General features: G+C 32.9%; 1 long non-coding RNA gene across 3 annotated transcripts in view, besides 2 other annotated features; it reads right to left on the bottom strand.

Moving 5' to 3' along the window:
* The window catches only part of LOC107984621 (uncharacterized), a 73346-nt gene extending 66787 nt beyond the window's left edge, over positions 1–6559 (bottom strand). Inside the window, exons 1-2 of one of the 3 annotated variants that reach the window (XR_001749953.2) lie at positions 6497–6559; positions 1608–1741 (exon numbers count right to left, since the gene is read on the bottom strand). This is a non-coding gene — a long non-coding RNA (uncharacterized LOC107984621). Of the gene's footprint in view, positions 1–1607; positions 1742–4408; positions 4534–6496 lie in introns of those variants that run through there. The other 2 variants (XR_001749954.2, XR_001749952.2) reach the window with 2 other exon arrangements.
* Positions 2337–2879: an enhancer, noted in NCBI's record as "NANOG hESC enhancer chr13:90058380-90058922 (GRCh37/hg19 assembly coordinates)". NCBI's record gives its function as "activates a minimal SCP1, AML or CMV promoter by ChIP-STARR-seq in naive H9 embryonic stem cells {active_cell/tissue: H9 hESC(naive)}" and the evidence as "EXISTENCE:reporter gene assay evidence [ECO:0000049][PMID:30033119]".
* Positions 6968–8167: an enhancer, noted in NCBI's record as "MED14-independent group 3 enhancer chr13:90053092-90054291 (GRCh37/hg19 assembly coordinates)". NCBI's record gives its function as "activates an origin of replication core promoter dependent on BRD2, BRD4, P300/CBP and CDK7 cofactors, and independent of MED14, by STARR-seq in HCT116 cells {active_cell/tissue: HCT116}" and the evidence as "EXISTENCE:reporter gene assay evidence [ECO:0000049][PMID:35650434]".

The following is a 14458-nucleotide window of genomic DNA, read 5'->3' as shown; positions in this document are numbered from 1 at the left end:
CATGTGGATAAGTATAAATAATTTGTGGTCAGAAAGCAAACTGTGATTGTTTAAAAATAATTGGTAAATCTACTGATGTTCTTTCTCTCAAGATGGGGTTTATCTCCCCTTGAAAATAAGCTGGCCTAGTGACTCACTTTACCCAATGGCAGGTAGCAGAACTGACATGGTGTGACTTGCAAGTCTATGTTGGAAAGAGTGAAACAGTTTCCATCTTTCTATTGAGATGGAAAAGTTTCCATCTTTCTATTGAGATGGAAAAGTTTCCATCTTTCTATTGAGAGAGTTTTCCTTTTTTTTTTTTATTTTCCAAGTGGCCACATATTATTCATCTAATTATCCATCCAATTATCCTTATTTTATACCACAATAAAAAGTTCAATAAATTCTAACAGTTCAAAATAGCAGATATCACATTCTCTGAGGTTCAATGAATTAAAACCAAAAATGTATATTTTGAAAATACACATATATTGTTTACAATTAATTGATATAATATGAATGTGGTAAAGGTGATGTTAGATATGAATTCTTATCTAAATATGGAGACTAATGTGCCTGCTACTTTGGAGGCAAATAGTCAATAAAGATTTGCTGAATAAATCAATGCATGCATGCTTGATGGAGACATGAAAGCATTTGAGGTGGTATAAGCTTAAATAAATAAGAAATGAGCTGGGAATGCCTATGCCATTACCATGCCGAAATATAAAGAAGTTCATATTCTGAAAAGAAACATTTTTAAAGAGTTTTCTTCTTCTTTGACCATATTAATCAACAAATCAAAGCACAGATATAGAATCAGAATGTGCTACTAACTGACCTGATATAATATTTATTTGACTGACCAATTTTAACTTAATGAAATTTGTAAGAGTGTTCACAATTTTGGGTCTAATACAACCAAATATGAATAAATAAATGTTATTTAACCCAAAGCCCTAAACAAGTACGAAATAAAAAAAAAATACTTTGGACCCCCAAACTCCTATGGTCAGAAAGTAAAGTGCCACAAATCTATCTTTTTACATATTCTTCTCACCCCATTTTCTCACAAAAGGGATAATACATCCTAATTCAGAAGAGCCAGCACATTTACATGTTGTCTAAGTATTTTTCGTATGTCTTCATATTCATATCTGGAGATACTTCAAACAAAGTATTTCAAATAAAGTGTATGTGACATCTCCACACAAAAATAATATATAATCTAATTGTTTTGCTCACAAGCTTCCTATCTGAAGAAAGATTCTATTTAAACAAAACAAGAACCTCTTTTCCTGTTTTAGATTACATAAAAATAAAATAAAATGGGCAAAACTGTACCCATGTTCATTTTATCTGTTAATGTTCTCAAATAGAAACTGGTTTCTCCAGTTTTGATTGTTTCCCCGTCTGTGGAGACATAATACTTCAAAGAAATGAAAAGATTTCTAGCACAAAATACACAGCATGAGTCCATTCAACTGACCACAGGATGCTGCTACGTCTCTGCTGGATTGAAACTTCAAACCCATTAAACAGAGTGGAAGCATTAAAACAGAGTGGAAGCATTATAACTTCTGAAGTCCAAAGTTCAGCAGGGAGTGTTTCAAGATGCTTCCTACCTCTAATTTTCTCTAATAACACAGAGGCCGTTGTCATCTCGTAGGGCACAGTGGTCAATAACTGCCGAGATTCTCTGCCTGTAGTCAGTCAGATAATAACTTATTTGCTTCATTAATTGGTGAAACAGCAGCGACTTTTAGTGGGGATGGAAAAAGAAAGAAATATTGCTTTGAAATATGAAGTTATATGTTTTTATTTTGAAGTCAGAAAAGATTATGTTAGGAAGTTTTGTATGATAGTGTCACCTTTCAACCCCTGCTTTTCCCTGCTGATTGTAGATAGCTCTAAGGTGGGACAAAATAAATCAGTCACATTTTGTGAAACTGACCCTTTCTTCTCTTGCCACATAGGATAACTGAAGTAACAAGGGAGTGCTTTCTTTCCAGTTTTCCAGCTGTGTTTCTAGCAAGCAACCTTCCAAATGCATTCATATTTGAAGACATTAGAATGATCACATTTTCTGAATAATCTGTATTACAGAGGCAATGGTTTAAAAAAATGTTTTTTTTATCTCTGTCCCCAATTTCAGTGTCTATATATTATTAATTTATGTGTATGTATATATGTTTCTGTGTGTATATATGTGCGTGTGCGTTCTATCTACCCAATGAAAACACTGATTTTTAATTACTGGTAAGGCCACTGCATAGTCCCTAAGTATCTGATAGTTGAATTACTTAAGCAGATTAATATTGCCGCTTTTATTTGGCACTAGATTTAGAGATAGACAGTGTATAAAGATATATACTTTTTGGTGAATACTCAATCCAAAGTCAAACAATACTTCCTTGTTCTGATTTGGATAAAAAATATTCACCTGTGAAAATAAGTTCAAAGGGTATATATATCTATCCATATATATATATATATAGTCAGGCCTCTGAGCCTAAGCTAAGCCATCGCATCCCCTGTGACCTGCACGTATACGCCCAGATGGCCTGAAGTAACTGAAGAATCACAAAAGAAGTGAAAATGGCCTGTTCCTGCCTTAACTGATGACATTCCACCACAAAAGAAGTGAAAATGTCCTCTCCTGGCCTTAACTGATGACATTACCTTGTGAAATTCCTTTTCCTGGCTCATCCTGGCTCAAAGAAGCTCCTCCACTAAGCACCTTGTGACCCCCACTCCTGCCAGCCAGAGAATAACTCCCCTTTGACTGTAATTTTCCTTTACCTACCCAAATCTTATAAAACGGCCCCACCCCTGTCTCCCTTCACTGACTCTCTTTTCGGACTCAGCACGCCTGCACCCAGGTGAAATAAAGATGAGTTAGTGCGTGCAGTGCACCAGCATGTCACATGTATACATATGTAACTAACCTGCACATTGTGCACATGTACCCTAAAACTTAAAGTATAATAATAAAAAAAAAAAAGAAAAGAAATAAACAGCCTTGTTGCTCACACAAAGGCTGTTTGGTGGTCTCTTCACATGCACGCGAGTGAAATATATATATATGGATATATATAAAACCACTTGTATATTTTTGTTAGTTTTTTTCTAATTATATTCTTGTTTGCTTTTTTTATCATGACAAAATACATATAATAGGAAATTTACCATATTATTTATTTCTAACTATATTCCTAATTGTTACAATAAGACCCTTAGAAACAGAAGGTGTGATCTTTGGAAAGGCATCTTTTCTTTGTACAGTTAAAGTATTCACCAATAAAACCAAATTAATCTTATGGAGTAGTATGCAAATTTTAAAAGCAAAGTGTTGGAGGGTAGTAAAATAATACATGTTCTTGAATTTTAAATTTAGGTTAAAAATCAAGTTTTTCTCAATTTACATATATAGATAAGATACCAAATATAACTAAAGGCATTAATAAAAATTTGATTCCCGTCTACTCCTCCCTCATATCATTCAAACATTTGCCAGAGGCAAATTAAACTCTTCTTTATTTATAAATATATAAACTTGCAAAACCATTTATTAGTTTATAAATTTTAGATTATTTTCTAAGGAACGTCTCCAATGAAAGTTGAAAATTTACTTCTGAAATCCCTACTCTCTACTCCCTCCCTATCCCCTCCCCCAAAAATATTTTATTAAATAATTAGACTTCACATTATTTAGGTTGAGTAGTCAACTATGACCTGAGAGCCTTCATGAGTAATGTTTGCTTTTCCTGAGGTTAATAATGATTAGGTTTACATTTTTTCTACTTTTTCATTTAATTATTACTAATTTTCCCAAATGCACCAACATTTAATCATAAGGTAATAAAAATATTTTCATATTCGCACACGTTAGTTGTGTGATTCTCCAATGAGAATATGCTATGGAGCCTTTCAGTTTCCCTGTCCTGCAGATTGTTTCCCCTCTTATTCTTTTATGCAAAACTTGTTCTGGGATTTCATTTTCCTGCTTTTCATTGACCTATTCTCTGTTTTATTGATCACTTATTTATCTTTCTTGAATACATGTGAATATAATATCTGCAATAACTTCCTAACTAAGGGTTTCTGCAAGGCACAGTTTTTGCATGCTAATTCAACAATATTTTCATTCTCCTCTTACACTTATTATACAGTAGTCCCTGCTGTATGTGAAATGAATACATTCCAAAACCCCCAGTGGAGGCCTGAAACTACAAATTGATTTTCATCAGTGGGAACATGCTTCTGTTTATGTCTTCCATGCAGAAATTTAATGTCTTTTCCATCTTAACTAAGCACTTATCATACACCACAGCCATAATTTTTGCAGTTTGAGGTATGATAGAAAAACTGGCATGAATTTCTTTTTCTTTTCTTCACAAATAACGGATAGAAGTTTCATTCTTACTGTAGATCTTGGCAAACGCAGCATATTTTTTTTCTTTCTTAAGTAGAGAACTTTCCCCTTTTCAGTTAAAATAAGAACTTGATGGCTTCTCTTTGGCAGATCTGAATTGCCAGCATCACTACTCTTGCTCCTGTAAGCCATTATTGAGTAAAATAAAGGTCACCTGAACAACAGCACTGCATACTGTAACAATCTGAGAACCAACATGGCCACTCAATGACTAACAGGGTTAATACACTGGACAAAGGGATGATTCCTATCCTGGGTGAAATGAAGCAAAACGATGTGGGATTTATCATGCTATTCAAAACAACAGGCAATTTAAAATGTATGAATTGTTTATTTCTGGATTTTTTCATTTAATATTTTCAGACCACAGTTGACCAAGGGAAACTGAAACCGCAGAAATGGAAACTGTGGATAAAGGCTACTACTCTTTATACTTAGCATAGATTACTAACATAAAAATCATTTTCACCAATAATTTTAGTACATTTGAGTTATCTTCTAGCTTGTGATGTTAAGAAATTTTACCATATTTTGATTTTTGGTGTTTTGTATGTGGCTCAGAAAATATCGATATCTAAATACTTTCCTTCTCTCCATATTTTTGGCCCCTCTGTCTTCTTTGATTACCCTCATTTCTAATTGTTTGTCTCCCCAACCTCATGACATGTACTAAAGCTTTATTGACTGCTTTGACCCTTGATAACAGCTCACTACTTTTATTTACACCAAGAAAAACTAAATGTCCTGAGTGAAAACCCAACTGAGATGCTCTCTCCTGTGTCTTTTCTCTACATAATCTTGGCCTCTAATGTTCTGACTATCTTAACATATCTCTAAACCCTCAAATAGATATACATATTTTTAAACATGTTTTTATACTTTCTAGATCTTTTTTTTTGTCAGAAATTAGTTTGTTAAAAGCTGTACCAGCAAACCTTTAGGCATTGATTAATGTTGGAATGAGGCAACAAGAACAAATTCATGCACTCTGATCCAGGTTAAGATTATTCCTCTTCCAGGATTCATTTATTTAATAACTGTTTTTAAAAAATGCTCCAAGTAGCACCAGGGAGTTTCAATTATATCTTACAAACCTTTTCCTTTCATCTTATTATTTACTTAGTTTTTCTAAATATTTACAGAACAAAAAATATGCACATTGATTTTTTTTAACTGTGTTAAGCTGTGTTTTTGTATTTATAAAACCAGAAAATGTACTATTTGGATTACGTATACAGGTTAGTCATTGCGACTCTTTGGCTAAATTTACCTAAGTTGCGACAGAAGACACATGACAAAAAATTGAAATGCATTTTTCCTGGTCACATTAATCAGGGTACAAATGACAATATCATTTTAAAGACATAAAATGGCAGATAATTCAGTCATCTCATCATTTATAAATATTTTAATAATTTTGCTTCTAAAATATTTCAGATTATATTAAGTATATTATTACATATATTAAATATATTTTATGTGATTCTGTCACTGTTTATATAGACTGAATAAAATGACAAGCACACAGGAATGAAAAACATTGTAAGTAATTATATTTTTTATTTATGGAGAAAATACTTTTTAATAATTGAACTTTGTTGATCATGCTTAATACCATCAGCATCCAATTTTATAACAAAATTTTACAATTTGATAACATTTCAAATATTATACCATTGACATTTCAAATGGTATATATATATATATCTATATGTGTGTATATATATTTCAATTCACAATGTCAGCAAATGTACCTTTATAATAGAGCAAGCAAATAGAAGTCTTTAAATGGAAATTGGCTCTACTGAATAAATTCCACTTATAGAGTCATTCAGAAGAGTATTTCTATTATAATTTCCCATATGATTCTCACCTCAAGAAGAATAATGAATTGTAATACTAACGTATTAAAAAATAAAATTCTAGTTTTAAGTATTTAAACCATAGCTATATTAATCCATTCTCATACTGCTATAAATAAATACCTGAAACTAAGTAATTTATAAAGAAAAGAGGTGTAATTGACTCTTTGTGCCACAGTTACAGGAAGCATGGGTGGAGAGACCTCAGGAAACTTACAATCATGGTGGAAGGTGAAGGGGAAGCAGTCACATCTTCACATGGCCACAGCAGGACAGAGAGAGAAGGCGGAGATGTTACACATTTTTAAACAACCAGATCTCCTGAAAACTCATTTACTATCATGAGAGCAGCAAGGGCAAAGTCCACCCCCATGATCAAATCACCCCTCACCAGGCCCCTCCTCCAACACTGGGGATTACAATTCAACATGAGATTTGGGCAGGAACACACATCCAAATCATATCAATAGCAATGTAACACACTTTCAAATTTTGTTCAAGTTTCACATAAATAATTCTCCAGATATCACCCTTTCCAAATCCTGATAATCTGATGATACTTAGTTCCTCACCTTCAAGAGAAACTAACACTGCTACACAGGATCTTCATCAGTCAACATATTAAAAATGTGTGTATGTGAGATTTAGAGAAAACACTAATAATGGTATAGAGGTGCATAAAAATTACCAGTAGAGCTTTGTAAAATAGTAATAAAGTTTCATGTTAAACATCTGAACCCATGTGTGTATTTTCATACCTTCTGGAAACCCACTAAAGTTGTATTAAGGGATAGGAAAAAATATGTACAAGGACATATAGAGACACAGTGAAGAAAAAACAATGATTGACTAGTGATACTGACCACTTTTTGAAGGATGAAAATAAGGAAGGGAAGCAAATCACCCCACAAAATCTAGAACCCTATAAGTTTCATGGCTAGGAAGCCGAAAGAAGCATAAATCATGATTTTAAAGTTTGGAAGGGAATAGAGTTAATGCTGTACGATGAGCAGCTTGGATCCTCATGTTCCTTCTCCAACCTTATGCTGGAGATAAAAGAGTATGTATCATGAGCAACTTAAACAAGAGCCTTCCACCTACATACAGTGTATGCAGCAGAGAAAGCATGTTGCTTCATGGAAATCCTCCATCTCATTCTGTATTCCACTGCAATCTGGAATTCTGGCAGTTGAGTTTACATGAGCATTTATGCATGTACACATATTTGGGAATAAACAAATTGGCATTCCCCTCACTCACCTCCCTCAGAGAATCAGAATTGCCCATGAAAAAAGACCTATATCTATTGTCATTTGGTAATTTCCTTAACGAAAGCAACTTTCTGCCCAGTCATTTTGCTGAGTCACACCACTCTGTAATTCTCAATATTATGCAATACACTCCAGTTTCTTTTTAATGAATTTCCTTGAATGTCTGCTGGCAGCAGAGAAACACCGAATGTTAGAGTAAAGATTAACACATGAAAAAGAGACCAAAATAAATGAAACAGAAATTTGGCATAAACATAGACCATTCAGGAAGCCAACAAAACAAACAATCCAAAAACACCTTTAACAATTTTATCAGTATACCAGAGATATGAAAGAAGGTTCATTTACAAAACAAGAGCATATGCCTATTTTTGTTATTTTTTTAAAGCAATGCTAGAATGCCATTTGGATGATGGAAAAAAAATGATTAAAATGAGGGTCAAAAGGAAGTCCAGAAAATTTCTTTCTCCTAGAAACTAGACCAAAATATCAAAAAAGCTAGAAGGGTATACAAAAGAAAAGTGGAGAATTTATTCAGAAAGTTTCCAAAATAGAGAACAGAAAATTCAGAGTAATATATCATTCAGATAAGTCAATTAAAAATATTTTTCTCAGGTGAAGACATGAGTTTCAGAACTAAACTGATACACTGAGTTTCCAGTATATTGAAAGAAAATAGACATAAAATAAGGTATGTAATGGGGCACTGCCCAGGTCAGCAATCTCTTCAAGACTGAATTGGACATTTCTCCCAGTCGCTATGTGCCTTGACAGCTCACAGCTTGTAGAATTCCAATATCTGGCAATTACCTTTGGCCAAAGGGGGCCACCTTACTGAAATGTCCACTACCTCCACCCCACCCCGCTTCCTGGAGACAGCACTCACTTAATGCTGGTCAATATAGAAGTTATAAAGAATTTTTCCTCTTGTCACAATTGGGAAACACTGTGCAGGTCTAATTGCCTTGAAGATAATATTTTTCCATTTTTTTCGCTTTCTTTTGCTCCCCACAATGTGTTAATCCAGAAAGCATTCCTCAATATACTTTATGCAAACAAATTCTGCTGTTATAGTCTGCTTTCTAGAGCACTTACGTTGCAACTAGCATAGTATAATTTTAGCAACAAATGGTAGAGATCCTGATATTTTTATTGCCAAATGCAATGTTAATTCTTATTCAATAATAAGAATAAGAGCAAGAACACTAGGAACTAGAAAACAATTTAAAATGACCCTAGAGTTCCTGGTGAACTTGACTTTCAAGCTCAAGATCTATACCCAGTTTATATATCAATTCAATGAGAAAGTAAAAATATTTTCAAATCAAGATTCAAAATTTTATCTTCCACACACTGATATTAGAAACTTATTTGTATGCATACACACACAGATAAATAAAAAATACAGAGGGAGATAGAGAATCAGCATAACAAAGAATATACCACAGAATAATTGAAAATAGATTTCCATAGATTTCCATATTCAATGATTTTTTTTCCCTAAAGTCAATTGCTGAATTTTTAAGGGTATGGCATCCAGCTGGAGAAAAACCAAAACAAAGAACTAAAAAAACAAACCTCAATAGATAAGTAGCTTTCATAAATTCTTGTTTATTATGAAAATGAAAAGATAAGACTCAGAATAGGAGAAAAATATTTTAGATCAAGTTGTAACAAGAAATGGAACGCATACTGTATATAAAGAATATTCCAGTTTCTGCAGTAAGAGGAAAAACAACAAAACTGAAAATGGGCAAAAGAAACAGAAGCTTCACTAAAGAAGGTACATGTATAGTAAATAAGTACATAAAAGATTTTTCAACATTAGTCATACGACATATGCAAATTAAAATCAGGAGATACTACTACATATCTATTAGCATGGCTAAAATCAAAATAATGACCATGCTAAATTATGGCAACAACGTGGTGCAACTGAATTTCTAATGTATTGCTGGCATGAATATAAAAATGTGCAACTACTCTTAAAACAGTTTGACATTTCCTTACAAATCAAATATATAATTAAAATTACCGTCTAATCTAAAAATTCCACTCCTGATTGTTTACCCTAGAGAAACACAAATTTATGTTAATGAACAACCTATACTAAAATATTTAAAAGGAAACATTTCTTCATAATCTCACCAAACTGGAAACAAATCAGAAACAAACGTGGTCATCCATTTAATGCAATACTGTTCAGCAATAATAAGGAATGAATGGTTGATACACACAATAACTTAAATGTATCATAAAGATATTACACAGCGTAAAATATGTCAGTAGGAAAGGTTTATAATTTGTATGATTCCATATATGTGACATTCTCAATCTTCCCCAGAAGATAAAACCAGGGTGATGGAGAACAGAGCAGTGGTTATTGCTGGGGGTTAGGGATGAGGAAGGGTGTTACTATAAAAGGGTGACATGGGGCATGGGGGTGGTTTGTGGAGTAATAAAATTGTTCTATATTCTAACTGTGGCAGTCGTTACACAAATCTATTGATGTGTAAAATGTATAGAACTCTATACCAAAAAGTCAATTTTATTAGTGTGATACAAAAAAGTTAAATTAATGGCAACGAAAATAAAGAATAAAGAGGAACAAAAGTAAAGAAAAGAAGGAGATAAACAAAATAGATACTAAATAGCAAGGTGGAAGATTGAATCCAAACTACTAATGTTATGTTGAAAAAAATGAAATACTGTTATTTTTTTGAAGAGATTAATTATATACATTTTATAAAGGAGACCTTTGAATAGAAGAAAACTAAAAAGTGTAATTAATATCATTAAACACTAAAGAAAAGAAAGCTGAAATATCTTTTTAAATATCATATGTGGCACACTGACCAACGCTAGAAACATAGAGGGATATTTCATAATGATAAAAAAAAGTAATTCAACTAGAAAATTGTACCGGTAACTTCAATATATATGAAACAAAGTTTAGCAAAAATAAAAATAGAAATACATGTATTTACAACCACATTGGCAAAATTTAAGTATCTCTGTCAATCGTTGATTGATCAAGCTGACAAAAAGATCAATGGAAACATAGATCTGAACGATTCAATTAATAACAACTGTTAGATTCAACCAATAAATTTTCCTGATTGAGACAAAGTCAACACTACAACAAATGAAAAAGTATACATTGTTTCAAGTTTACCTAGACGATTTATAAATATCAGTATGAGGAAGTCCTAGCTAGAGCAATCAGATAACAGAAAGAAATAAAGGGGATCCCAGTTGGAAATGTAGAATTCAAATTATCCTTTTATGTAGATGATACAATCTTATATTTGAAAACAACTAAAGACTACACCAACAAACTGTTAGAACTGATAAACAAATTCAGTAAAATTGCAGAGTCCAAAATTAACATACAAAAATTAGTAGAATTTCTTGATGCCAACAGCAAACAGCTATTTGCAATAGCTACAAATAAAATTAAATATACGGGAATTAACAACCAAAGATGTAAAAGATCTCTACAATAAAAACTATAAAATATTGATGCAAGAAATTGAAGAACATACCAAAAAATGAAAAGGTATTCCATGTTCATGGATTGGAAGAATCAATATTGTTAAAATGTCCATAAGACCAAAAGCAATCTACAGGATCAATGCAATTCCTATCAAAATAGCAATGACATACTTCACAGAAATAGAAAAAAAAAATAAATGTATATGCAAGCAAAAAAGACCCAGAATAGCCAAATCTATCCTAGGTAAAAAGAACAAAACTGCAGCAATCACAATATCTGACCTCAAATTATACTACAGAGCCTTAGTAATCAAAATAGCATGGTACTGGCATAAAAACAGATACGTAGACCAGTGGAACAGAATAGAGAGCCCAGAAATAAATACAGATATCTATGGGGAATTAATTTTCAACAAAGGTGAGAAAAACCTACATTGGGGAAAGGGCAATCTCTTTAATAAGTGGTGCTGGGAAAACTGGATATCCACATGAAGAACAATTAAACTAGACCCCTATCTCTTGTCATGTAAAACAATAAAATCAAATGGATTAAAACTTAAATCTAAGACCTCAAGCTATAAAACTACTAAAACAAAACACTGGGAAACTCTCCAGGACATTGGTCTGGACAAAAATTCCCCACAAACACAGGCAACCTAAGCAAAAATAGACAAGTGGGATGCACCAAGTTTAAAAGCTTCTGCACAGCAAAGGAGACAATCAATAATGTAAAGAGACAACCTACAGAACAGGAGAAAATATTTGCTAACTATTCATCTGACAAGAGATTAGTAACCAGAATATATAAGGAGCACACAGAACTCAATAGGAAAAATTCCAATTAAAAATAGGCAAATAATCCAATTTAGTAATAGGCAAAAGTTCTGAATAGACATTTCTCAAAGGAAGACATACCAGTGGCATGCAGGTATATGAAAAGGTACTCAACATCACTGATCATCAGAGAAATGCAAATCAAGACTACAATGAGCTATCATGTCATCCCAGTTAAAATGGCTTTCACTCAAATTACAGGAAATAACAAATGCTGGTGAAATATGGAGAAAAAGGGAACTTCATACACTGTTGGTGAGAAAGTTAGTACAACCACTATGGAAAACAATTTAGAAAACAATTGTCTTCAAAAAAAACTAAAAGTAGAACAACTATATAATACAGAAATCTCACTGTTAGGTACATACCCAAAAGAAAGAAAATCAGTATATGGAAGAGAGATCTATACTCCCATGTGTATTACAGCACTGTTCACAACAGCCAAGGTTTGGAAACAACCTAAATGTCCATCAACAGACAAATGGATAAAAAAAAATGTGGTACATACGTACATTTCTTACTATTCAGCCATAAAAAGAATGATATCCTGTCTTTTGCAAAAACATGGATGGAACTGGAAGTCATTATGTTAAGTGAAATAAAGCAGACACAGAAAGACAAACTTCACATGTTCTCACTTACTTGTGGGATGTAAAAATCAAAACAATTGAACTCATGGATATAAAGTAGAAGGATGATTACCAGATGCTGGGAAGGGTAGTTGGTGGGAGTGGGAGGGACGCGTATGGTTTATGGGCACAAAAATGTAGTTAGATACAATGATTAAGATCTAGTATTTCAGAACACAACAGGGCAACTATAGTCAACGATAACTTATCATACATTTTAAAACTGAAAGAGTATAATTGGATTGTTTGTAACACAAGGAAAGGATAAATGCTTGAGGGAATGGATTCCCCATTTACACTAATGCTATTATTGCATGTTGTATTTCTGTATCAAAGTATCTCATGCATGCCATAAATGTATACGTCTATTATGTACCCACTAATTGCTTTTTAAAAAAAGTATGAGCATGACAGGGCATAGGAAGTAAATCTCAGCAAATTACAAAATATGGTAATCGATTAGAAATTATCCATCCACAGTGGAATTAACCTATTCATCAATAACAGGCAAACAACATAAAAAATCATCAATGATTAGAGTAAAGCAGCATACTTCAAAATAATCTAAGTGGCAAAGAAACCACAATGGAAGAGATAATATTTTGAATTGAATAATAAAGAAAATACAGTGTTTTAAAATTTGTTAATTAATTATTAGAGGAAAATTTTTGCCTTGAATACCTATAACAGAAAGCCTGAAAATCATTACTATAAATATGTAACTTATGATGCTACAAAAGTTAAACAGAAAAAAGTATTAGGAAAATAAAGATATATAGAAATACGTTCATAACCACCTTACTATATGCTTCTCATAACCATTAGCAGAAATAAAGACCAAATGGCCATTAAGGCTACATTAATATGTTGTGGTGTATTCTTTTTTTTTCTTTTCTTTTCTTTCTTTCTTTCTTTTTTTTTTTTTTTTTTCTGAGGCAGAGTTTCACTCTTGTCACCCAGGCTGGAATACAAAGGCACAATCTCAGCTCACCGCAGCCTCCACCTCTCAGGTTCAACCAATTCTCCTGCCTCAGCCTGCCAATTAGCTGGGATTACAGGTGCCCGCCACCATGCCCAGCTAATTTTTGTATTTTAAGTAGAGACGAGGTTTCACCATGTTGGCTAGGCTGGTCTTGTACTCCTCAACTCAGCTAATCCACCCACCTCAGCCTCCCAAAGTGCTCAGATTACAGGCGTGAGCCACCGCGCCTGGCCTGTTGTGGTGTATTCTTGCAATGAATTGTAGAAAGAAATGAGAATTAATATACTGATGCTATACATAACAATTGGATGAATCATGCAAATGATAAAGGTGAATGAAACACAAAAGCACACTCAAATTGCTCTAATTCAGCTTACATCGTGTTAAATGTAGCCAAAACTAATGTGTGGTAACAAATCAGTTTATTAACTAGCTCCGAAGCCTTAATAACTGAGGAGCTGGGCTTCTGTTATGTTTGGAAATATAATTCTTGATCCTTCTGTTTACATAAAATACTCGTGAAGTTGTCCAATTATAGTTTACTTGTGCATTATTTTGCATATATTTTATACTTCAATCAAATAAACATGTACATACTATAATTCAATAAAAATGCTTCCTTAAAGCGAACACTAATAATTTTCACTATTCTCATGGATCTGTATTTCAAATACTGTATTTTAAGGCAGATAATGTCAAACAGATCCTCTAAATCTGGGAAAAAATCTCTGTAGCTCTTTGTTGGTTACACAATAGGACATGAAAAGAAACTTGTTTGTATTATATAGTCTACTCATGTAGTTGTATAATAAATAAGGACTATATAATTTACTGAATTACTTTGAAATCAAGTTAATGATTATCCCAATGTGGTCTATTTACAATGAGGTCCAATATTTCCAATTAGGTTGAGTAGCTCTCATGATGTGAAAAAAAGCACTGCAACTTTCAGACATTTAGTTTGCTCC

Source organism: Homo sapiens, chromosome 13, assembly GCF_000001405.40.
Source record: "Homo sapiens chromosome 13, GRCh38.p14 Primary Assembly".
NCBI classification, from domain to species: Eukaryota; Metazoa; Chordata; class Mammalia; order Primates; family Hominidae; genus Homo; species Homo sapiens.
This window is presented reverse-complemented; position numbering and strand designations above follow the sequence as displayed.